We start from the raw sequence: 26,322 nt of genomic DNA on the forward strand, positions 1-26,322 counted from the left end.
CTCTGTTGCCCAAGCTGGAGTGCAGCGGCACGATCATGGCTCTGCCTCTGCCTTCCAGGCTGCAGTGATTGTCTCACCTCAGCCTCCCAAATAGCTGGGACTACAGTTGCATACCACTATGCCTGGCTAATTTTTGTGTTTTTCTGTAGAGACAGGTGCCGAGACCAGCTTGGTCAGGGAGACCCTAACCGAGCGGGCCTGAGCGTTAGAGGAATTAAAGACACACACACAGAAATATAGAGGTGTGGAGTGGGAAATCAGGGGTCTCACAGCCTCCAGAGCTGACAGCCTCAAACAGAGATTTACCCATGTATTTATTAACAGCAAGCCAGTGATAGGCATTGTTTTGATAGATTATAGATTAACTAAAAGTATTCCTTATGGGAAACAAGGGGATGAGCTGAAATAAAGAGATGGGTTTGGCTAGTTATCTGCAGCAGGAGCATGTCCTTAAGGCACAGATTGCTCATGCTATTGTTTGTGGTTTAAGAAAGCCTTTAAGCGGTTTGCTGCCCTGGATGGGCCAGGTGTTCCTTGCCCTCATTCCAGTAAACCCACAGCCTTCCAGCATGGGCATCATGGCCATCATGAACATGTCACAGTGCTGCAGAGATTTTGTTTATGGCCAGTTTTGGGGCCAGTTTATGGCCAGATTTTGGGGGCCTGTTCCCAACAGACAGGGCTTTGCCATGTTGCCCATGCTGGTCTTTAACTCCTGAGCTCAAGGGATCTCCCTGCCACAGCCTCCTAGAATGCTGGAATCACAGGTGTGCCTGACATCCGACTCCCTAGTTTTTAAAAGATTCACTTACCATTCAAAATAGGGAGTTATCATTCCTTATTTTGCCAATCAGTAAGTTTAAAATTCTTTTTTCTTCTACAAATAAGGCTGCAGTAAGTAGCCTTGTCTCTATATTCTTACACAAATATACTTTTATTTTTATGGAGTTGATTCCCAAGTGTGATATTGCTTGGGGCGTGCATGTTGGAAATTTTAATAAATATCACAAATTGCTTGTCAGAAACCTAAGACAATGCACATTTCTACCAACAGTGTAAGCTAATAGATAAGCAGTAATATCTCATTTTGCTTCATTTTGTATTTTTTGACCACTTCCAAGGCCCAGTGCCATTTAGTATGGCTGCTGGACATTTTAATTTCCTCTTCTGTGAATTTCCATCATTGTCCATTTTCCTATTATCTATTTTTAAATAAAAAAGCACTTGGATACTAGAGATATCATTTTTTGTCAATCATATATGTTGAAAATATTTTTTCTTGTCTATTATTTTCTTTCATAGTTTATTTGTTTATACCAAAATTTGAAAATTTTATCCATGCTCAGAATTTGATTTGAAATACTTTTATGAAATTATTGGAGTCAACTTCCCACTTTGTTTTTATATATCATGAGAAGTCAAAGAATCAAAGCAATATATTCTCACAACCATACGCATTTTCTCCCCATCCTCTTCAGCCTTGTGTCTATCATCCTGTTTCAGCACTTATAAAGTCACTTCTGTGGAATACTTGATTACAGACCTAGCCAATAATTTCTACGCTGGAATACATATTTATATATAAATACAATCCCTTAACTATGTAAACTATCTGCCCTATAGTACAAATTCCTTTACATAATATTCTTGAAAGTCTTAAATAGAAGCAGGCCAATCAAATTTCTTTAATAACTTTTTAAAGAATGTCAATCACATTCTTTAATAATTTATAGGAACTTGACATCGAGAGCATCCTCATGAATTCTATTGCCATGTTGTGTGCTATGGACTGAAGTTTCGTGTTCCACCAAAATTCACGTGTTGAAGTCTAATCCCCAGTGTGATTGTATTTGGAGGTGGGGCTTTTGGGAGATGATTTCACTCTCTTGAATGGGGTTAGTGCCATTATAGGAAGAGACACAAGGTGATAATTCATTCAGTCATGTGAGGATACAGAGGGAAGGTGGCTGTCTACAGGCCAGGAAGTTGCCCTTCACCAGGCACCAGTTCTGTTGGCCCCTTGGTCTTGTACTCCCCAGCCTCCATAACTGTGAGAAATAAATGTCTGTTGTTTAAGCCACCCAGTCTGTTATGTTTGGTATAGCAGCCCAAGCTTATTGAACATGATGATAGACGGAATTCTAAGCTGACTCCCAAGATTCCAGCTCCCTGGTGTACATGCCTTGTATGATCCCTTATGCTTACATGGCTTGGGGATGGAACCTTTGAATATGATGGGACAGCCACTCCATGGATTAGGTTGTGTTACAGAGCAAGTGCTGATGGAATAGTCAGGTGTGTGATCATCTGACATTATAGGAGACTCTGTTGTGTTAGACTTGAGGGGTTTTGGAGTCAGGAGTTTGGGAGCATGAGAGGATGTGCGGAGGGAACCATGCTGAGATTGTTCCCTGGTCAACAGCCAGCAAGAAACTGGAAGCCTCAGTCCCACAGCCACTAGGAACTGAATTCTGGGACCAGCAATGTGAGCCAGAAAGAGGGCCTCAAGCTCCAAAAAGGAACACAGGCCAGCCTATACCATTGAGACTGCAATTGGAGCAACTAGTTAAGCTGTTTCCAGATTTTTGACTTGCAGAAACCATGAGATAATAAATGGTGTTCATTCAAGCCAATAATTGTGTGGTAATTTGTTACTCAGAAATAGAAAACTAATATACACGTGAATAAATGTTTTATATAATTAATCACTTTCAACTCTGGTTATTTTTTCAAGCACGTTTTCAAAAACTTTAGAGTAAACTTTTATGTGTAATTAAGGGAGATGTTTAGAAAGGGATCTCTTCCAGGAAAGCCTTCAGAAAGAGGAGAGAATTTGGACAAACTTTTTCATGATATAAAAAAGACTGGTGAGTAGAGATGCCAGTGTCACTTGGGATAAGATTTTCACTTGTAGGAAGGCATGGGAGAAACTGACAAGATAATGTAACTTACTAAAAGTGTTTAAAAATAAAAAATTCAGCTTCAAATAGAAAAAAATTATAGAATAGAGACAAGATTTAGCATAATTTATGAAAGATTATGATGTAAGAATTGAAACATAGTATAACATAATTTTAAAAATTCTATATACTGGCTAAATGATAAAATTGCTTTTATTTCTGCTTCTGATATTCACATAAGGAGTTTTAAGTGGAGGGTTTAGCCAACAATTTTTGTAGTTGTGAAAAAGTAACAAAGAGACTGTAAGGACTCCATTATTAATTGAGGTCAGAGATTCTTGCCCCACAAAAATGACTAAGAGTTGGCCCTACAACAACTGTACCTCCCATTATTTTCTTTTCTTATTTTTTTTATTTTTATTTTTTTGAGATGGAGTCTCGCTCTGTCACCAGGCCAGAGTGCAGTGGTGCAATCTTGGCTCCCTGTAACCTCTGCCTCCTGGGTTCAAGTGATTCTTCTGCCTCAGCCTTCCGAGTAGCTGGGACTATAGGCGTGTGCCACCACACCCAGCTAATTTTTGTATTTTTTTAGTAGAGGCGTGGTTTCACCATGTTGGCCTGGATGGTCTTCATCTCTTGACCTTGTGATCCTCCTGCCTCGGCCTCCCAAAGTGCTGGGATTACAGGCATGCACCTCCCATTCTGAACGGGAGGTAGACTTTGCATAAAAAACTGCATTTGAAAATCCTAGAGGGCCTTCAAACTCATCAAGTCCATTTCCCAAACTTTACCATTGTGATGGTTTGAATATTAGTCCTTCAAATCTCAATTTGAAATTTACTTGCCATTGTAATAGTATTAGGAGGTGCCATTCCTAAAGAAGGAAGTAGGCTAGCCAGGCCCAGTGGCTCATGCCTGTAATCCCAGGACTTTGGGAGGCTGAGGTGGGCAGATCACTTGAAGTCAGGAGTTCGAGACCAGCCTGGGCAACATAGTGAAACTGTCTGTACCAAAAAATACAAAAATTAGCCGGGTGTGGTGATGGAATCCTGTACTCAGGAGGTTGAGGTAGGAGAATCAGTTGAACCTGGGAGGCAAAGGTTGCAGTGAGCCGAGATCATGCCATGCACTCCAGCCTGGGTGACAGAGTGAGACACTGTCTCATAATACATACATACATACATACATACATACATACATACATACATACATACATACAAAGTAGGGCAAAAGGCTCTGCCATTATGGGTGAGGTTAACTACATTACAAAAAGGTAGATTTAGCTTTTTCTTGCTCTGTCTCACTCTCTCACCTTCTACCATGTGATGATCTAGCAAGAAGGCCTTCAACAGATGTTGGCACCTTGATATTGAACTTCCCAGCCTTCAGAACTGTGAGCCAATACATTTCTCTGTTCATCATAAATCACCCAGTCTCAGGTATTCTGTTATAGCAGCAGAAAATGGACTAAGACAACCAGCTTCCCCACAAATACCTGATACTGTCTTTAGATCCTAAGTTGGTAAATTTGGACAACCTTTGGACAACCACATCAAGTTGTTAGGCTGATGCTTTGGAATTAGCTTTCTTCCTCTTCCTTTTTTACCACACACTCTTGATATTGATGACATGTCACTGATATGTTCTAAGAATGTCTCATTTATCTGGTTCCCTGCTTTTCCTTTGTCACTACTTGAAACAGAATCCATTCTGTCTTGTTCACAGCTAAAACCTCCTCATTCTCTCTATTCTTCTCCTCACCCTCTCTATTCTTCTCCTCACCTCTAATACACCCTCCTCAAGGCCAAAAGAATGAGTTTAATATGCCAATCTGATCATATCATCAATCTTCTCCAAAAAGTTTTAACAGCGTTCTTGTTCTTAGAGGGTAAAATCTAAACTTCTTGTAAGGAATCCAGGAATCATTGTTACTTGGCCATAGACCTTTCCCATTGTGAAGTTTACAGGCCATTAATTTTAAGTTCTTGTAATTCCTTAACGTGCTCTGCTGTTTCCTGCTGAACCCTTGGTCTTGGATGCCCTCCTCTAGTTTTGCTTCCATCAAACTCCTCCTTATTCTTTAAATTTAGGCATAAATATTTGCATTAGGTACCAATCAATAGAATGGAACTTTCAGGTTAAAAGAGAAAATTGCCATTTTCTCTTTTAGGTATTCATTTTGGATCTAATACTTATCCCTGCCCTGCCTCATTCTTCCTTTTGCTCAGAACTATTGTGAGAGATGGAGAGCAGATAGCTCAGAGAACCACAAAGCTCTTTGACTCTCAGAAGTCAACTAGCACATTTTGAATGTCCTCTGTCTTTAAATGTCCCTGAAGAAGGAGAAGATACCAAATGTAAAATAAATAGTATTTGACTGCTCCAAATTATTTCTGCTATTCATTACAGTTTGAAGATTTTGGAAAGATTAAATCAAAAGCCTTAGAATTTCCTTCCATTAATGAAATAATTTATTCTGGCTTTTGTTTTGCTTCCAATTTCCTGAGGTTTTAATTAAGGTTCAAAATAAGTATTTAGTCTTGAAGTTATTTCTGAGCTCTTTTCTCCCACCTACCTAAAACATGGTATCATCTAAGTGATGTTTATTATTTAAATTTACAATAACCTAAAAATGTTTCAATACTGTAGCTATAATTTAACTTCCACTTATAAGTGAATACATGTGGTATTTGGTTTTCTGTTCCTTTGTTAGTTTGCTAAGGATAATGGCCTCCAGCTCCATCCATGTTCCTGTAAAGGACATGATATCTTCCTTTTTTATGGCTGCATAGTATTTCATGGTGTATATGTAGCACATTTTTTTTTTATCCAGTTGGCCATTGATGGGCATTTATGTTGATTCCATGTCTTTGCTATTGGGAATAGTGCTGCAATAAACATAAGCATGCATGTGTCTTTATGGCAGAACAATTTATATTTCTCTGGGTTTATACCCAGTAATGAAATTGCTGGGTCAAATGGTAGTTCCGTTTTTAGCTCTTTGAGGAATTGCCACATTGCTTTCCACAATGGTTGAACTAATTTAAACTCCCACCAACAGTGTATAAGTATATCCTTTTCTTTGCAACCTTGTCAGACCTAGCCATTCTGACTGGTATGAGATGGGAACTAAATGATGAGAACATATGGACACAAAGAGGGGAACAATGGACACTGGAGCCTCCATGAGGGTGAAGCATGGGAGGGAGAGGAACAGAAAAAAGAACTATTGGATACTAGACCTAGTACCTGGGTGATAAAATAATCTGTACAACTGCCTATGACATGAGTTTACCTACATAACTAACCTGCACATGTACCCCTGAATCTATAATAAAACTTTAAAAAATAAAAATAGAAAAACCAAAGAAACAAACAAAAAACTCAAAAACTGTAGTTATATCTCCTTAAGGCAATTAGATATCTTCCAAAACACAGTACGTTATTGGTTTCTGAGTGAGTAGTAGTCTTTAAATACATTTCCATAAGAATTATCTGTTGATCTCTCTGACCTGCTTTCACTGATAACTACGGAGTTATTTGCTGAAGTGTCAAATACCTCAAAGAGCAAGCCTGGAAACAATGGAAACCAGATATTTTTATCTCTCTGGTTATCTTTGTTTATTAGTTTTATTGGTAAGGTGTTAAGCAACCTGTGGGTTCTATGGTGATTGTGATAGTGCCGTGCAGGTGATCTGGACCCTGAGATCTAAGTAAAAGAAATGAGCAAACCAAGTTAATATATGTAAACATCCATCTCATTAAATCAGTGTTTGGTACCAGCTCCACTTTTACTTTTGTCCCACCAATTTTTCTTTCTCTTTTTATCCAATGGACCACTTCCTGAATGTTGCTAGATATTTGATAGGCAAATAGAATTTAATGTACTTTAATAAAATAGTTATTTTAACAGTTTCAAGGAACATTTGGTTACAGAAATGAATAGTCAGGTGTCTAAGCATGTGTTTATCAGATATAGATTTGCTCTCACTATACTTCAACATGTGAGCAATTTTCTAATAATTCTGTCGGGATGACTTTCTTTCTAATCCCAGGGCAGCATGTATGATTTATAAAGTAGAAAAAAGTTAATTCAGAGTTTTGTTTGTATGCCCTTTCTGGAGGTGCTAAGTCAGTGCACCTCACACAGTTATTAATTAAACCGTCAACATAAACTTTTCTCTTTTTAAAGTTTGAAAAGTTTCTTTATTTTGACAAAGCCTTTGGCTGCTGGCTAAAATGAGTGCAAACTATGTACATTCACAGAGTTACATTATAGAGGGGGTGATCAGCATATATAGAAGTCCTTGATTCTAGAGTCAAAATTTGCTGGAAGTCACCCAGATCATGTGCACCACTTTAGGTCCACCAGGACACAAGCCACTCTGGGGTTCCACGTTTATGTTTTGATTTTTACTTGCCTTTTTAGACCCACCATTGTCAATGTAACTAGGAGCCAATGCATGGTGCAGAAGGCTCCCAGGTGCCACTCTCACCCCATGGAGGACTGTGCCACTCTATAACAACACTGGCAGTGCCCACCTAATGCCCTCAACTCTACCTTCTCCCCTAGCCTGGGAGGAAGGAGGGTGGGAGCTGGATGTCAGCCTCTGTGTCACTGGCAGGATTTGATGACCCTGTTGTGGGGTGGCCATGTAGAACTGCTTCTTGTTTTTCTGGATCTCACACCATCAGCATCAGTGTAAAAGCCACAGAGCACCCAGCAACAGGTGGTATCCCATGATGTTATCTTAGGGAGATGCTGAAAAGTGTCTTGACCCTGAGTATCTCCTTCAGCATTTTTGACCAAACAATCACATGTTCTCTACATTTAGGATGCCCTTCCCAGTTGGCAAAACTCTTTCATTAATATCATCACATTTAGCCTCGGTAAAGCTGTAATGGGCTGGTTGAGTACTTTTTTCAAAACAAAGGATGAACAAGCTCAGAGAGATTGAGTGACTTACTGAAGGTCACACAGTAAATGATAGACTATTTTACTTTATGTCTAGGGTCTTCCACAATATGAAATAGATTGTATGTATTGCAACAAGTAGCATTTTTGGAGACAGCTGTAACTCCTTTACCAGGAATCATATTTGCATGTCACATTTAGAGACAAAGCTCAAAATGCAAATCTTCCCCAAGAGTGGAAAAGCATTAACAAATGGCCACCGCAGGCCTTTACCTATTCAAAATATTAAACAAATTCTAGGATCATAGACGATGTAAGACATGGTAGTTAATAGGAAAGTTCCAGATTAAAAACAATTTTGCACAAATATACATCTGTGTGTGTGTGTCTACTTGGAAAACACATTGCTTGAGGAGTTTTTGCCATTTTAGTTACCAATTTTACACTCTGTGTTCACAGCATTTGCCACCCAATATCTACATATAAAGCCACCATAATACTTTAAATTACTTTATACTTCATTTTCAGTCAATTGGAATCATAAACTAAGACTGCTTAGCTAATGAAGCACTTTCATGAGCAAAAATTACAGATTTTTTGAACATGATTCTAGGAATAGTTCAGTTTTCACATTTAGTGTCTGAACCTAAGTTTGTCACATGAAGCACAAAATCCGCTTTTATTTTTAAAAATCAATTGTATTTTCACTGTAAACAAATAGCATAAAAGCAATAAAAACACTTCCCTTCATTGTATGAAAATGTGTGGCATTTTATTTGAGTTACTAATTAAAATCCTGGATTTAGAACTTCTGGATCTTCTTCACTTATAAATTTGAGTCTATTCTTTACCATACTGTAGTTTTTACCTTAGGGATTTGGTACATTTTATTTAAAAAAGGAAAATGCAGACAGTGAAAATTGAGATAGAGTTAGAAGACTTCAAGCACCATAGCCCAGCATGTGTATATTCAGGACAAGTGAAGGGTCCCCTCCACTGGATTCAATGACTGAAAATTATGAAGATATCAAAAATGTAAGAAGTCATAGGAAATATTTTTCCTCAATGGCAAAGATGGCACACAAGTTGAATGGTTAAGAAGGAAGGTTTATTGGCTTCAATTCCCCAGTTGATGTTCAACACTTTATTTAGTTCTCATTTGGATTTTAAACATTTGCTTGACAAATAATTTCCCATCAATTTCCATTTCTTTGGAAAGCTCCCACGTGTAATTTATTTTTAACATCTCTGAAGAGCAGAATTAATGATATTTCCTAGCTGTTGCTCCAGATCATGTAGGGTAGAGGAGGCTGAAAACTGCTACAAGGGAAGGCATCTGTATTGTTTCAAAACGTCAGGACGGTACGGATACTGCAATAGGAAAGAAGAGACATTGTGTTAACATTTAGACAACCCACATGCTTCCATGTGATAGTCCAAGGAGTATTTGAGGTGACTTAGTGAAAATCTCTCTGTGTTCTCAGCCACTCCCTTCCCATCCCTATGCATTTGGGTCAAGTCAAGTGAAGGGAAGTTCATGTTTTTTGGTTTTCTCTTGTGTTTTCTTCAATCTTAAGCTCACTCAAAACCTCCTGAGTATGCCTGTCATTTAGACTTCAGATCTACATTAGCATCTTCAAAAAATCATTTTGGCGTGCCCAAGTTCCTGGTATAATAAGGAATATAAAATAACAATAGATAATAACATGCAATAAGTTTTTGCTATTTGTCACATGCTTCATGCATTTTTTTCACTTAAATCTCAACCTAAACAATGACGATAGGAAGTTGGTTTCCATATTATTTCCATTTAGAGATTATAAAAACTGAGACTTAGAAAGATTTGTAATTTGCTCTGGTCGCACATCTAGTATAGGGTGTTGGGATTCAAACCCAAATACAAATTTGCACAAATTATATAATGATAGATACCTTGCCTGAAAGAACTGATAATTTAATAAAGTTAGGACCATGCTGGAGGTTTAATAGACCTTTGATACAGAGATGTTTAAGGATTCTTAGAAGTAGAGAATAAAGCTGATTTGTATTAATTCTAAGCTACTTCATTCTTGTGAAGATTAGAAATGTAACATTTACACTAGAATTAATGCCTTTTCTATAAACCAACTTTTGATGAACACTTTTAAGAAAAGAAGATATTTGCGACTGAGAATTTTATATATAGTGTGTGTGTGGTGTGTGTATATATATACACAGATAAGAAAAATATATGCACATAATTTAGAGAATACAGGACAGAAGAAGCCGCTAAAAAAAATCTGTAATCTTACGACCTCGGAGTAATCATGGTCAATGTTTTCTTGAATTCTATCAGCTTTTTCTAGATACAGATACACTTTCTATTGTCCTTTTTGAAAATTTGGGATCATCTTATAAATACAATTTATATGATTTATTTTATGAGTTTAAAATTACATTTTAAGAATTTGCCAATGAAGTCTTTTTCATTTCTAACAGTTGCTTAGAATTTATTAAATCATATTCTTAATGTTGGACTTTTCTAATGTTTCTAAATATTGATATTACTGATAGTAAATAAACATGCTTAAACATATATGTATGTTTGAGTTGATTATTTCTATAGAATAGATTTCTAGAAATGGTATTGCTGGAACAAAGGATCTAGGTTTTTTTTGGAGGTTTCTGATACAAATTACCAAATTGCTTTCCCAAAAGGATGTATCAATTACTATGAAAGTATATGAAAGCATCCAAGTCACCTTACTCTTACCAATATTGATATCACAATTTTTATTCTTTGCTTATTGATAAGATTTTATTTACATATGCGTATTACTATATGACATTCTTGTAAAGTGAATTTAGGCATGCTCCATGCCTTCTTTTGTTGCTCAATAGTGTCTTCTGGTTTTGGTCATCTCTATTTGCCATCATCTTATCAATTCTATGATGATGTCAATGATAATAATAATGACAATGATAATTAACCTTTGATGAATACTGTTTTCTATATATATATATATATATATATATATATATATATATATATATATATATACACACTCTTGAGGGGTGGTGTGGTTTAATAGAAAGTGAATAGATTTGCTAATAACAAGATCTTCCTTCGAATTCTGGCTCTCCTTCCTACCACCTGATGATTTTGACCAAGTCATGCCTTCTCTGCTTCTTAGTTTTCTCTTCTCTAAGATAATGAGATTGAGACTGACACTGAGCGTTGTTTGGGAATCACATGAGAAAATGCATGTAAGACACTTAGTAGAACAGCTGGTGCTCTGTGGGTGCTAGTGTCTTTCCTTCCTCAAGAATATTTGTCGGATAAAGTATCTAGTATGATAGTTTTGTGAGTTTCAAAGAAACACTATTTGAAGTTGAAAACCTCATGAAAATAAGTGTGGGATAGCAGAAAAATCTCAGACTCTGGAGCTAGAAGGCAGAGATTAGATATAACTGCCTATTTCCAGTTATGTCTCATATAAATGCAAGTGACAAAGTTCATTATATTAGGTGATTGTAAGTGTAAGTGTTAGAGGTAGGAAATAGAATTGGCTTATTTTTCTAAGACTTGGAGAAAATGTAAGACAAATATTTAAAATAGGGTTTAGTACCCTTCTCTTTTACAACAACTTTTCTTAGTAAATTTTTTTTTCTAAACTGCAAAGAAAAGAAAAGAAAAAGGAAAATCTAGTAATATCTACTTAGAAATCAATCTCAATGTAGTTCCACCTACTCCCATAATGAATATGCTGAGGATGTCCTGAAAATAATTTTAATATACAATCATTAGATGTCACACTTACTTATATGACAGGCAGAGGTGTCAGTGATTCCATGTTATAATTCTGGTTGCTTAAACTTTTTTTGGAGGGGGATGGGGGCCAAAGTGAGTGTTCTCTTTTAAAGAAGGCTGAATGACTCTGATCATTCAGTTATGCTATAATCAACATAATTTGCCTTCAGCAGAATAGGAAATGCAAAGCAACTGTTTTTAGCTTCTCACAGTATTACCTTACATGTGCTCCATGCAAAGATTGAACTGGCAATGGAAAACCAAGGCACTGTAATTTTTTCTCATCCTTCCACCTTTTCATTCTCTGCTAGACAACGCCCCCCCCCCCCCCGCCGCTACTGTAGAATACAAAGCAAAACAAAAAAACAACTTAAAATCTACCTCTTTCCAGAGCGAAGCAGGTCAAATCCTTCATTTATTTTTTCAAAAGGTAAAATATTTGTTATTAATGCATCCAGTGAAAACTTCTTAGCCATAAAGTCAGCCACAAGTTTGGGGACAGATTCTTTACTCTTAAAGCCTGAAAAGAAGAAAATATCATTGATAGATTCAACCAGGGTAAGTAGGAGAATTGAAGAGAAGATTTTCCAAATAAATGAAAGTTTAGAAAAAGTGCTGCATTCCAGACTGCTATAACTGAGGATAATAAGAGATAGAGTACTTCAATATGCTTTTACAGTGCTTTCACAAAAAAAATCACAGATAAACAAGGGTCCTTAGTTATTCTCTCTCTCACAGAGAAATTATAGTACAGATGTTATGCCCAAAGTTAAGGAGCAAATTTATTAGTTGTCTAGATTTTTGTGTAGATATGATTTATTGTTATATATTTCCATGGCCTACTAGAAATTTCCTTGCCTTACGCAGTCACAAGTACAAAAAGAGGTGGAGATGAAAGTCCTGGTTAATAGTGACATCAGAAAAGTCTATCTTGGGGCTGGGCATGATGGCTCATGCCTGTAATCCCAGCACGAGCACGTTGGGAGGCCGAGGCAGGCAGATCATTTGAGGTCAGGAGTTCGAGACCACCTTGGCCAACATAGTGAACCCTCATCTCTACCCAAAAAAATTAGCTGGGCACAGTGGTGCATGCCTGTAATCCCAGCTACTCTGGAGGTTGAGATAGGAGAATCACTTGAACCTGTGAGGTGGAGGTTGCAGTGAGTCAAGATTGCGCCACTGCACTCTACCTTGTGTGACAGAGCAAGACTTCATCTCCAAAAAATAAAAAAGAAAAGTTCTGCATTATTGGAGACTATAGAAAAGAAATTTTAATTTATTTTTAATTTCATTGCTTTTCAAAAACTTGCCTTGTCACTCATAAAAGGAGAGAAATTCTTAGGTTAATGAGAATTTGGCTCTGAAGCCTAACTACATACCTCCAAAAATAGCTCCTTTCCACGTGCGTCCAGTCAGTAGCAGCATAGGGTTTATTGAGAGGTTCTGGGAATCAGGAGGTACCCCTACAATGACACTTGTGCCACATGCCTCATGACAACATAACAGGGAAGCCATCTGGAATAAAGTGAACATTTAGTATCCTTAACGTGGAGTGGCATAGTTCATACTCATAATGCACAATATCATGTAATAGGCTTAGCTGGATTGTGAGTGTGTAGAGGGAAGAGATCATGTCTTTTGCTCCTTCATTCCCCCTTTCTTTGCATAGGATAATGCTGTGGATGTAGCAAATGCCCAGAAAATGGTTTTTGAATGAAAGCATGGACGAATAAATTTGTGTGCCCTTAGTTCTTCCTAATAAAGGAATAAAGAGGCAAACATCATTACAAACATATATAAAGTCCTGTTCCTTGTACAAGTGTACATCATTCTTAGGCAATGTGTGAGTTGGTTCCTTTTTCATTGATTTATTACATAGGTATTTTGAACCCAATACTTTGAATCAGATATTTTGATGATGAACAAGATAAATGAGTATATCACCAAAATTAGTCTCTTGTCCACTTGATAGCCTCCCTTTTTAACAGATTCCTATGTCCATTTCTCAAGTGGACATGTTTTAAACATTGTTTTTACCTCCCCAAATGTATATTGGTTTTACATTAAATTACACTGATTATTTGGGAACCTCAAAAGACAGTTCAGAAAATCTTTTCCAGTCAGCTTTTGGAACATGTTCTGTAGTTAGAAAATGGTTTAGGATCCCTCTAGGTATATAATGATTAGTTCTTTGATTTTGGATTCTGATCTTTGGGAGACTGACATCCTCAGAACATGTGGCTGTCAGACATTTGGTGTCTTGAGATAATGTACACTCCAGTTCCACATGAGAAAATGGAGGAAGATATAGAAAAAGAGCATAAGGAGAAAAGCTATAGCCCTGGAAAAAATTGGATTCTCTTGATACTTTATTCCTCTGTGGCATTTGTCCCAGGTCAAGGCTGCTGGGAACTTTGATCTCAGGGTGCTGCTCCCTGTTACCCACACTGCTGGACCTTCTAGAAAACCTCAGCAATGGAAACTTTTTTGTTTCTGGAGACTTTTTCAGTAGGAGTCTAGATAATTCTGGATAGGTAAAATATAGCTAGAGATATGTTTCCGTTGCCTTTGATATTTGTAACTGTTTGAAAGTAATATCATGTAATAATTCAAAGATGACATAAGCACTGCAAGATTGGAAATAGTATTTCATATCAATAATGCCAACTGAGGCTCAGCATGGTTGCTCATGTCTGTACTCAGCACTTTCGGAGGCTGAGGTAGGAAACTCACTTAAGCCCAGGAGGTTAAGGCTGCAGTGAGCCATAATCATATCACTGCACTCCAGCCTGGTGACAGAGTGAGACCCTGTCTCAAAAAAAAAAAAAAAATAAATAAATAAATAAAATAAAATAAAAAAGGGGGCTGCTGACATTTATTGGAAGCTAACCACATGATGAGTTGTGTTGCACAAAGTATTTTACATGCATTGTCTCATGCGTTTCATAAACAATGCCATGAGATATGTAGCTCTTAACTTTTGCGGGTGGTAAAATCTGTTGACTTTATTTAAAGCATTCAGTCCAAGTAATACTGGGTACTAGTTTTGTGTCAGGCACTGTCCAGTTGCTGTGATAAAATATAGCAATGTATTAAAGCAGTCACTTTCCTTAGGGCATATTTTCTGTTAATAAAATAATAGTTGGTCTAAAATTGCTCATTTCTTTTGACCGAAGAATACTATGTCAAAAAGTTTGGAATTCGTTAAGAGCATACATAAAATTGTTAAAATATTTTTGTTAAGAATGTAAAAGAAAAATAAAACTTTTTAATTTGAGAAAATGATTTGTATTATTTATATATATTTAAGTTTGCATTTTAAACTAAAAATTAATAAAGCATATTTGTAGTGGCTGTGTTAAAAAAAACAAGCCCTTTTTCTTTTCTCGAGGAAATATGACTTGAGACAGGTTTGCTTAGCTGATTGAATGGAAGACTTCTCATAACAATAAATTAAACAAGCCAGGTAACAAAAAGATGACGGGAAATTTCCATTCATCATTAAAAATATCCTTTATACATAATACGTATATTCTACTGCCTAAATGCATCCTCCAGGTTGCAGAGGCAGAAATTTCAGGGCATGTCACGGATCATACCATGGTGTCAAGCCGACCGATGACTTCAAACGAAAAATCCACACCTCCATCAGTCATTTCCTTTAGCACTTCCTGAATGGGTTTCTTGTAGTCTTGAGGGTTGATGCATTCAGTGGCACCCAACTCTTTAGCCTTTGCAAATTTGTCCTTGTTGATGTCCACAGCAATGATTCTGGCTGCTCCAGCTGCTTTACAGCCCATAACAACAGATAGGCCGACCCCTCCCAGGCCAAACACAGCACAGGTAGACCCTGGGGTGACCTATGTTTTCAGAAAATGCAAAAATGAATTAAATAATGTTTGTTAGAAATTGCTTAAGCTTTATAAAGTGCCATGTCTTGTGTGTTATCAAGAACTACTCAGACTCTTCTGTCCAATCTGTTATCGAAACCTGTTTTGGCTTGAAATGCTTCATGTTTAAATTCAAGGGGTTGAATTAGTTGAGTAGTTCTGAAACTGCTGCATATTAGATTCATCTGGGGAGCTTTAAAAACATCCCACAGTCCAGGTCATAGCCCATGCCAATTAAATGAGAATCTCTGCAGGTGGAACTAAGTCCTCAAGGGACTCCAATGGGTCAGGCTGGGAACCAGGGGACTGGATGATCTTTGAGATCCAGATGACAGTGATTACAATCTTGTAGGGACTCTCAATTGCTGAAATCCCTTGATAGCCAGCTTCAGTATCTCATACATACACCAAGGCAATATTCGGAAAATAAAATAAGTGGAAAAGGCTACTCCAGGAGACTGAAAAATATTCCACTTTAACTCTCAATAATTAACTCCTTTCTTCATTTTTGTTCAGTAGTCGTGACCAGTATATCCCTCCTTTAAAAAATACACTTGTGAACAACACAGCAATGAAACATTAGTCTATATTTTAATAATAAATAAAATCTGTTGTTATGAGTATCCTCAGCTTCTGTTCTTGGGTAGGCTCACTTAGACTACCCATTAAAATAGATGAGGCAATTGAACAAGGGAGTAAGTGCTAAAGTCACCGAAATTTGGAAAAGATGTCCTCTAAATTGTGTAAATTGGCTAGCGGTTATTTACTAAACCTAGTCTCCCATAGTCAGCCTTCGTTTTGGGTAACATGCTGTTCCTGTTCCAAATAATCTCATTCTTATATTCCCTTAAGGGTGTCTATTTCACTCATTCATTCACCAAGTGTTATTCAATACTATGGGGGACAACACCACTTTCTACCTTACTTAGAAAAATACAAGGCTTGTTTGTGACTGTGGTTTAAAAGTGCTAATAATTATGGATTGTGATTTGACATTCAGCAGGAGATTTGTAAAAGATATTTTAGTCTTAGTGCTCATATTAAGCAGAAGTCAGATTTTGGGCAAATATCTTTATATCTCTCGATCTAGGTTTCATAAAATAAAACATACTACTAGATTTTCAGTCTACTCAGATGAGGAGCCTTTAAAGAATTTCTGCTTGAAATTTACCACTTCTGAATACATATGTGTGTTCATGCCAGGGGAGTTAGTTTTAGCAGTGAAATGTCATAATGAGTGAATTATGCATCACTGAGTCTTTATTACTTTCCGTCTAAGAATCCACAGAGTGGGTGAGCCTTGGTTTCGAGGTGCATCAGGTAAGGTTTTGGACTCTACTGTTGATCCTAATTCTGGGAGGAGAGGATCCACAGACTAGATGGTCCTCAAGGGCAAACGCTTCATTTCATTTACTTTTGCTGTCAGAGCCTAGCAGAACCTATGGTGCCTGAGGTATGTATAGGTGCTCTCTAATTGTTGATTGAATTACAACATGAATTAGTTCACAGATCTAAAATTTCATGATCCCATAAACAGCAAATTCAGAAGAAAAATTATTGAAAATGACATCTTTACATTTTCTTAACAAGTTTTTATCTGCAATAAATTGGTGAAATTTCTAGCCTGTGCTCTCAGTTCTTTCTGGGTCATTTTTCTACTCTTAATCGACACTTCAAATCTACAAAAATAATTTCTGATTCTTGCAAGAAATTGCTTCCCTTTTGGTTCCTGACAGTCTGCGTGTAACCGGTTTTATCATCCATTGTCATTTCTACCTTGGCAACTTTGACTGCAGACCCATAACCAGTCGAAAATCCACAGCCAATGAGGCAGACTTTCTCCAGGGGCGAGGCTGCATCAATTTTGGCCACTGCATTCTCATCCACCACTGTGTACTGGGAGAAGGTGCTGACGCCGACGAAGTGGTGGATGGGCTTCCCGCTGCAGGTGAACCTCCTGGTGCCATCCTGCAGGGTCCCCCGAGGATTGCCTAGACTGGGCAGTGCAATACAAAGACACACAAAGGCATGAGACAGGACCATAACTAATGTGCAAACTCAAAGTCTGTGCAAAGAAAGCATCAGAAACTTACTCATTTTTCAAGCAGTAGTTGCTTTCTGGGTTTTTACAAATTCTGCATTTTCCACACTGAGGAGTAAAGAGCGGGATGACTTTATCACCTGCAGAGGAATAAAACAAATTCTTCTTAAATTTCTATGCAGGAATTAATAGAGCAAAAACTTAACGCTCACATGTATAGATTAGAATTATGTGTCTGAAAAGTTTCTAAGAAATAGGGTCTAGTCACAACTATGTCATTTGTCATTGCCTGCCAAGGCATTGTTTTTTAGTTTGGGTTTATAAGTGCCTGAAGAATCCTAAAGAGAAAATACAAGTGTGGGAAACAAGATGGATTAAAAAAATTCCATCAACTGTGTTAATAAAATTTTACGCAGTGCACTAATTTATCCTGGAGGCTTTGCAGATATAATTTATGTAATCCTTGTCTAATTAAATCTTAACTAAATATTTTTGCTGTAAGTATACATATAAATTTTAGTTGAAAGTAGCCTATTTTAGTCCTAGTAGATGTTGGGAAGATCTGGTATTTTGTAAGAATTTGATTTACAACAAAAATGAGATTTTTAACATAGGTCTTGGCTTTTCAAAGAGACTAGGTTTATCTTAATTATAAAATGAATGTTTTCAAAAAGATCTTAGTTCTTTTTTGAGGAAAACTAACAAAAATAGGACAAAGAAGAATTACAGAAATTCGTCTGAAAATTTCTACCTTCCACAACAAGTTAGACACTTTCTTTTAGGATAAGAATTGACTTTCAAGTGTTTTTAGCTGGTAATTTGTGAATTATCTATTTTTACTGTTATGGTGGAAGGAGGAGGGGTGAGAAATAAGGCAGTCGTTTTGATATTAATTTTTTTCTGAGTAAAGGAAATAGAGCTAAAACTCAAATTGGACAGTTTATTTTATTATTTTCTTTTCACAGTCTAAATTAGTACTTGGTAAGTGGACAGGTCGAATCCATTGGCTAAAGTGATTCTTTAAAGACAAATTTTATTTTTAATCACCTATGCTATCTATTTCACAAGACCAAGAAAAATGATTGGTGCATAACATTTTATGGGTAAAGTTCATATGAAAACGATGGTATGGAAATGTCCTAGTTATTCATCCTTAATTAATATAGTAATATTTATATTAATACATAATAAGATTAGGTAAAATAAATATTGAAGATAAAATAATTAGTAATCCATAATCAGTCACATTTAAGCATGGCCAAAGGTAATAAGGCAGACATTGTTGATGGTGGATGGCTCCTGCTATGTTTCTTTCATTTTCTTTCACCTAGTCAGTTTCATTGATTCCATGCTCAGGAAGAGAGACCATGTTGGAAGAGGAAATCGGTAAAGGAGCTGCATAGGTCACCTAAGGAAAGGTCATGTTTCTTCAGCCATAACCATGCAGCCTCCATTTTGTGAACTCAGCACAGAACAGTGTCCATACTTATGTTTTTTTTTCTCCCCTCCCATTTATAGTTTTTTGGGCACTTACAGAAGACAGTGTTCAGCTAACACTAACGTGGAAGTTACTAGATTATGAATTCCACACTGGTAGGCACTGTGTCTCTTTTGATCCTCATATATCTCCAGGCTCTAACCTAGTGCCTGGCATCTAGTAGTACATAATGGTTGAAGGGTAGAATACACGCATGCCTGCCTGAAGTCATACATGCTTGAGTCAGGCAAGCAGAGAGGGAAGGAGGAAACCCCTGAAGTCCCAGCTTCCCTGTGACCTTGTGCAAGTCCTTTCGTCTTTCATTGCCTCGGTTTCCTCATCCAGGCTGACTAATCTTGTGATGGTGAACCAAGGCATGTTCCCTGAGTGTGAATCCTGTACCTGGTTTGACTGTAGTCACCCCTTCTCCAACACTTTCCACGATGCCGGCTGCCTCATGGCCTAAAATCACAGGAAGGGGGGTCACCAGGTTGCCACTAACCACATGCTCATCTGAACGACAGATTCCTGCAGCCACCATCTACAGAATAAAGAGAAGATGTTTAGATTCAGAAAAGATTATGACTGTCAGATGGACTTAACAAACCCAATTTTCTAAAATTGTTATTCAAAAATATTCTCAAGGGTTTTGCTGATAATCCCTACTATTCCCAAATATGAAAGATTCAGTTTATCTCCAAGGTTATCCAGTCTAAAACCTTCCTCTTTTTCCCTTGAATTTAACAATTTAGAATAATCTGTGAGATAATTGATCCTAAAATTTTTGTCTTGTATAATATAGAAGAATGCATAGTTAAAAGAAAAAGAAGTAGAAATTGCAAATTAACACCAAGAAAATATCTAATGCAAATTGATTGTGAACTCTTGATATATATCCCTTTGCATTTTTTTCTGTACAAACCTATAAATTCTTTTGTATTTCACTGGAGTTATCCTTCATATACTGTTTGCCCACTTTAAAAAAATTTAACAATTTATACTTTCCTTGACAACAAATGTAATTTTATTTTCTGGATAATTATATAAAAAATACCTCTAGTGGATTTTGGATGTTTCTATTTTTAATATTTTCTGAATTCTTTAAACTTAAAATTAAATACAAATGGAAAAAGTATTTCACCTTAATGCGAACTTCATGAGCCTTAGGAGGTGCAACCTCTACCTCCTCAATGGAAAAGGGTTTCTTTAACTCCCATAGCACAGCTGCTTTGCATTTGATTACCTAGAACATCAGACAGAGAGATGGTACCAGTGTTTTCCCACGCTTGCAGTCAGAAATTGTGTCTTTTCATCTTTGTACATGCAACATTGAGTCCCATGTCTGGCACCTAACAAGTGTTGCATAGAAATGAAGTCCTCTGGTTTATAAAGAGAATAAGAGTATCTTTTAAAAAAGCAATAACATAAGGAAAGATAAACAGAGTTAAGTACAATAAGGCACTTAGATAAAATGGAATATATTCATTTAGGTTATTCTTTTTTATTTTATTTTATTTTTTTTGAATGTTTTTTTAATTATACTTTAAGTTTTAGGGTACATGTGCACATTGTGCAGGTTAGTTACATATGTATATATGTGCCATGCTGGTGCGCTGCACCCACTAACTCGTCATCTAGCATTAGGTATATCTCCCAATGCTATCCCTCCCCCCTCCCCCCACCCCACAATAGTCCCCAGAGTGTGATATTCCCCTTCCTGTGTCCATGTGATCTCATTGTTCAATTTCCACCTATGAGTGAGAATATGCGGTGTTTGGTTTTTTGTTCTTGCGATAGTTTACTGAGAATGATGATTTCCAGCTTCATCCATGTCCCTACAAAGGACATGAACTCATCATTTTTTATGGCTGCATAGTATTCCATGGTGTATATGTGCCACATTTTCTTAATCCAGTCTATCATTGTTGGACATTTGGGTTGGTTCCAAGTCTTTGCTATTGTGAATAATGCGGCAATAAACATACGTGTGCATGTGTCTTTATAGCAGCATGATTTATAGTCCTTTGGGTATATACCCAGTAATGGGATGGCTGGGTCAAATGGTATTTCCAGTTCTAGATCCCTGAGGAATCGCCACACTGACTTCCACAATGGTTGAACTAGTTTACAGTCCCACCAACAGTGTAAAAGCGTTCCTATTTCTCCACATCCTCTCCAGCACCTGTTGTTTCCTGACTTTTTAATGACTGCCATTCTAACTGGTGTGAGATGGTATCTCATTGTGATTTTGATTTGCATTTCTCTGATGGCCAGTGATGATGAACATTTTTTCATGTGTTTTTTGGCTGCATAAATGTCTTCTTTTGAGAAGTGTCTGTTCATGTCCTTCGCCCACTTTTTGATGGGGTTGTTTGTTTTTTTCTTGTAAATTTGTTTGAGTTCATTGTAGATTCTGGATATTAGCCCTTTGTCAGATGAGTAGGTTGCGAAAATTTTCTCCCATTTTGTAGGTTGCCTTTTCACTCTGATGGTAGTTTCTTTTGCTGTGCAGAAGCTCTTGAGTTTAATTAGATCCCATTTGTCAATTTTGGCTTTTGTTGCCATTGCTTTTGGTGTTTTAGACATGAAGTCCTTGCCCATGCCTATGTCCTGAATGGTAATGCCTAGGTTTTCTTCTAGGGTTTTTATGGTTTTAGGTCTAACGTTTAAGTCTTTAATCCATCTTGAATTAATTTTTGTATAAGGTGTAAGGAAGGGATCCAGTTTCAGCTTTCTACATATGGCTAGCCAGTTTTCCCAGCACCATTTATTCTTTTGATTTTTTTTTCTCCAAAGATGTTTAATCCTGATATTTTCTAACACTGTCCTGAAGACAACTGTTTACCCACAACTATTGGCTGGTACATGTTCTAAGTCACCTTTACTTTGCTGACAGAGTCAGTGTCTGTCCAAAATACACTGCTTTCTTGCTCAATTTTCTGCTTAGGCCAAAAGGATCTGACTCCATAAAAACAGTTATACATTTACCTTCCTGCTTAGGATGATGTCTCTTTCTCTATTTGCCTATTGTCCTCTTTTAATTTTCTCTCTCCACTTCTGTGTTACTTGTCTCAAACACCCATTTGAAACTTAGCTTTGGCAGCCTGTTTTGTTCATCTAATTTATGTGCAGAGACTCCTTCCAGCTTAGATTTGAGCCCAAAATTACAGAGGTTAGAGTTGGTGTTGTGTATGTGTGTTTCTGTGTGTGTGTGTGTGTGTGTGCATTCAGACCACACACATGTATTTAAAAACTGGAGAAACTGTGTATTTGAGTTTCTAGCTAGCAAGCTTATCCACAGATGTCCTTAAAAATAAAAGCTGATCACATATTTCCAGTGCTTGGCAGTGTACTGTAAAACCCATCTTTATTGTGGTAAAGCATGTACAATTCACTGAGCTCTTTCTTTACAGAATCAACATAATTGCAAATATAATAAAAATTCAATTGAAATTTCATCTTCTGCCAATTAATTTTCATTATTCATTTGTCAAATCCTTCAACTTTGCAGGATTTTCAATGTGGTCCATGCCAAAATAAATATCAGAATACTTGGAAATAAAGTTCTAATAGTAGGAGTTTCTGATTGTCAGGTGCCTATGATGTGACAGGTGCACTGTGGCTTGTGCTGAGTGAGTTACATGCATTATTTTTATTTTTAAAATTTATTTATTTTTAATTTCAATAGTTTTTGGGGTGCAGGTTGTTTTTGATTACATGGATAAGTTCTTTAGTGGTGGTTTTTGAGATTTGCTGCATGTGTCACCCGAGCAGTGTACACTGTATCCAACGTGTAGTCTTTTATCCCTAACCAAAGTCCTCTATATCATTCTTATGCCTTTGTATCCTCATAGCTTAGCTCCCACTTATAAGTGAGACCATATGGTATTTGGTTTTCCATTCCTGAGTTACTTCACTTAAAATAATGGCCTTCAGCTTCATCCAAGTGGCTGCAAAGGCCATTATTTTGTTCCATTTTATGGCTGAGTAGTATCTCATGGTGTACATATACCACATTCTCTTTATCCACTCGTTGGTTGATGGGCATTTAGGAAGTTTCCATATTTTTGCAATTGCAAATTGTGCTGCTGTAAACAATATGAATTACTTTTAAACCTAAAACGGATGCTACCAGGACAGTACTATTGAATTATTGGTCTTACTACATCTGAAATAATTGAGGATCAACTGACTCAGTGATTGAATAATTTTCCTGAAGTCTCAAAGCTGGCTGTCCAGAGAATAAAGATCAGGCCGGGTGCAGTTGCCCATCCCTTTAATCCCAGCACTTTGGGAGGCCGAGGTGGGCGGATCACCTGAAGTCAAGAGTTGGAGACCAGCCTGACCAACATGGTGAAACCCTGTCTCTACTAAAAATGCTAAAATTAGCCAAGCATGGTGGCGTGTACCTGTAAACTCAGCTACTTGTGAGGCTGAGGCAGGAGAATCACTTGAACCCGGGAGGCAGAGGTTGCAGTGAGCCGAGATCACCATTGCACTCCAACCTGGGCAATAGAAAGATACTCCATCTCCAAACAAAAAAACGAATGAAAAAATTAATGTAGCCTCACGTTTTCTGTACTCCGTGGTAGTAAATATCAAAAAGTTATAAAGCAACAATAATAACAGTGGCTAATATTTATTGACTTATTTTTATTTACCAGGTACTATTCTAAGTGCTTTTCACTATTAATTTACTGAATTCTCACAACTACCTTATGAAATAGACATTAGTATTGTCACAATTTAGGATTGAGGAAAATAAAATGCAGGACGGGTAAACATAAATGAAATGCTGTCAAAAAGCTAAGTTATTGATGTTGCACTCAAGAGGGGAGGATTATCTATTTCATCAGTTATTATTTTCATTAATGATTGGTTTATACTTTTGCTCTATGAACTCATTATTTCTTTTAAGTCGAGTTTAGTAAATGGTAAATTTAAATTTTCTTTTTTCTAATTATTTTCTATGAGGAATGTAAATATTAATCAATAATGAATGAAAGTAAAGTAAAGTGAAGTGGTGTAAGAACAGTACCAATGGGCCACTCATGTGATTTCCAACCAGTCTTATTGACATGAGCCTGTTTTGTCGCACAGCATAAAGGTAAGCCTCAGAACCTTTAAACTGAATTATCATAGTGAGGTGTTTTATTGTGTGATACACTCCTAGCACAACAAATGGCTGGAAATAGTTGCACAGATTTTTTTAAATTAGGCAATTAATAATATCAATTGATTATATTGAATGACCACATGCATTTCTGTGCACCTGTAAACACATTGAAAAATAAGTATAAATTTATAGAAGAAAAAACAAATATTTGTGTTCTGAGTGCTAATAAGTGATTCAAATTGCATTATTATTTTTCTGTAAGATCATATTGACTTTTATATAGGGGAGATACTGTTCCATAAGATTTCTGTGGAAATTGCCTGAATTGTGTCATAATGGGCCCCCTTTAAACGGAATTTGAATGTGATGTCTTGCTTAACCTTGATGATTCTAATGCTGTGAGATCAATGAGTATTTTGTAAGATATTTTATAGTAAGATTAAAAGTATATTTCAAAATCTTCTCAAATCCCTCTCATAAAAGTTTTGTCAGACTTCTTGTGTTCACAAAAAATATGAATACAAATAATAACACATTTAAATTATGCTTTCTTAATATAAAGATAGCTTCTGATTAAAGACTTTTCTAACTTTAGGTTTACAAATCAGTCATGATTAGCTTGGAATAAACTATCACTTTACGGCAAATTTATTTAATGTAGGAAATAAAGACAATAGATACAGATTCTATATATTCTTTTTGAAGGTATTTAGGAATAGCTTATTTCCACTGTAGTTCAGTATACATTACATATTATAGCATATATTGCATATCATATTCCAGTGTATCATTTCTAATTTAGATATGAATTTTAAATTATTCATCATCTAATTTAGATATGAATTTTAAATTTTAAATTATTCATTATTAATACTGTATTCCTTTATTTGTTATATTGAAGAGAATATATTATCAACAGTAATATATTTTTTGCTTACTTTTCCTGCTGTGCTCATATTGATTCTGTCTTCTCTGCAGACCAGGAGGCTGGTGAGTACTTGTGGATTTCTTCTCTGCTTGAGTGCATAAAGCAGGTATGTTGCACAGGTATTTATTTTGTTTGCTCATATAACACCCAATTCCAACTACACACGTGATCTAGGTTTTTAAGCCACACCCGTCGTATTCTTCTCAGACTATCAAATCATAAAGAAATGGGCACCGAACCAGCACTCAAAACCTTGACTTTTCCAATTTCAGATAAGATTTTGCTATCATTCGGTTAAATATTAAGTTAAAACGATACATTTTAATTACTTTCTCTCTTCCTCCTCTCTCAAGTTCCTGCTTCTCTTCTCTCAAACCCACAGGGGTCATTCAGAGTTCAGTTTTCCCTTTGGGGTCATTCAGAATTCCGTTTTCCCTTTGTCTGCACTAAGCTGCAATTTTGAATCCACATGGTGCAGTTACGAAGGAGGAGTAGGGAAATTGGATAAACAAAGTGGAACAGAGAGAGCTAGGAGCCAGAGGAGTGTGTTTGATACAGCACTCTCCTCTTTATAGCAGAAAATCAGACACCCCATCAGTCACAGCAAAGGGGCTCACTGTGCCTTGCATTTCTAGTCCACTCAATAACAATCAGCATTGATTGAGCATCTCCCTGTGTCAGGCACTAAGCTGGGGCTGATGGGGTGGCAGTGATAAATAAAACTTGACTCTTACCTCTGCTGAGAGGCAGTATAGGGAAGCGGTTATGACACAGCCTTTGGGATCAGACAGACTATTCCTTAGCAGCTCTGTATACTTGGACTTATTAGTTGACTGTTCTTTGCCTTAGTTTCCTCGTCTTTAAGGTGAGAATGAATAGTATTGTGTCCAGAAGCTGCAGACCTTCGCAGTGAGTGTCAGAGCTCTTAAAGGTGACATGTCCAGAGTTGTTCATTCCTCCCAGTGGCTTCATGGTCTCACTGACTTCAGGAGTGAAGCTGCAGACCTTCACAGTGAGTGTTACAGCTCTTAAACATGGCACGTCCAGAGTTGTTTGTTCCTCCTGGTGGGTTCATGGCCTTGCTGGCTTCAGGAGTGAAGCTGCAGACCTTTGCCATGAGTGTTACAGCTCATAAAGGTAGCATGGACCCAAAGAGTGGGCAGCAGCAAGATTTATTGCGAAGAGCAAAAGAAGAAAGCTTCCATGGCATGGAAGGGGACCTGAGTGGGTTGCTGCTGCTGTCTTGGGTGGCCAGCTTTTATTCC

At 37.0% G+C, this 26,322-nt stretch overlaps 1 protein-coding gene across 2 annotated transcripts, besides 10 other annotated features; it reads right to left on the minus strand.

Annotated features, from left to right (window-relative positions):
- Window positions 8,907-25,156, minus strand: ADH1C (alcohol dehydrogenase 1C (class I), gamma polypeptide). 2 transcript variants are annotated; one of them, NR_133005.2, is made up of 9 exons: window positions 25,068-25,156; window positions 20,155-20,256; window positions 19,416-19,554; window positions 17,589-17,676; window positions 17,272-17,491; window positions 15,249-15,465; window positions 12,985-13,120; window positions 11,987-12,125; window positions 8,907-9,186 (listed from the first exon to the last, which is right to left on the minus strand). NR_133005.2 is itself a non-coding variant. In NM_000669.5 (9 exons), exons 1-9 carry the CDS (start codon window positions 25,083-25,085, stop codon window positions 9,162-9,164), a joined length of 1,128 nt encoding a protein of 375 aa, NP_000660.1. In that variant the 5' UTR covers window positions 25,086-25,156; the 3' UTR covers window positions 8,907-9,161. The 2 variants fall into 2 exon arrangements, 1 of the variants encoding a protein (NP_000660.1); NM_000669.5 differs by having other exon boundaries at window positions 15,205-15,465.
- Window positions 25,102-25,484: a promoter, noted in NCBI's record as "-328/+55 promoter; EcoRI/PstI fragment". NCBI's record gives the evidence for it as "EXISTENCE:reporter gene assay evidence [ECO:0000049][PMID:1996113]".
- Window positions 25,102-26,258: a promoter, noted in NCBI's record as "-1107/+55 promoter; HindIII/PstI fragment". NCBI's record gives its function as "drives expression in kidney, heart, neural tube, hindbrain, limb buds" and the evidence as "EXISTENCE:reporter gene assay evidence [ECO:0000049][PMID:2169444]" and "EXISTENCE:transgenic organism evidence [ECO:0001131][PMID:8120040]".
- Window positions 25,102-26,322: part of a biological region, named in NCBI's record as "ADH1C promoter region", that runs on past the window's edge. NCBI's record gives its function as "regulatory_interactions: ADH1C | LOC111240471".
- Window positions 25,166-25,177: a protein binding site, noted in NCBI's record as "C/EBP footprint". NCBI's record gives the evidence for it as "EXISTENCE:protein binding evidence [ECO:0000024][PMID:2050667]".
- Window positions 25,178-25,185: a TATA box. NCBI's record gives the evidence for it as "COORDINATES:motif similarity evidence [ECO:0000028][PMID:2050667]".
- Window positions 25,187-25,207: a protein binding site, noted in NCBI's record as "C/EBP footprint". NCBI's record gives the evidence for it as "EXISTENCE:protein binding evidence [ECO:0000024][PMID:2050667]".
- Window positions 25,229-25,264: a protein binding site, noted in NCBI's record as "G3T Sp1 site". NCBI's record gives the evidence for it as "EXISTENCE:protein binding evidence [ECO:0000024][PMID:1446829]".
- Window positions 25,428-25,484: an enhancer, noted in NCBI's record as "RARE; -328/-272". NCBI's record gives its function as "mediates induction by retinoic enhancer; antagonized by thyroid hormone" and the evidence as "EXISTENCE:reporter gene assay evidence [ECO:0000049][PMID:1996113, PMID:1321136]".
- Window positions 25,436-25,459: a protein binding site, noted in NCBI's record as "RARE; -304/-280". NCBI's record gives the evidence for it as "EXISTENCE:protein binding evidence [ECO:0000024][PMID:1321136]".
- Window positions 25,948-26,322: part of a mobile genetic element that runs on past the window's edge.

This window comes from Homo sapiens, chromosome 4 (genome assembly GCF_000001405.40).
Source record: "Homo sapiens chromosome 4, GRCh38.p14 Primary Assembly".
NCBI lineage: Eukaryota > Metazoa > Chordata > Mammalia > Primates > Hominidae > Homo > Homo sapiens.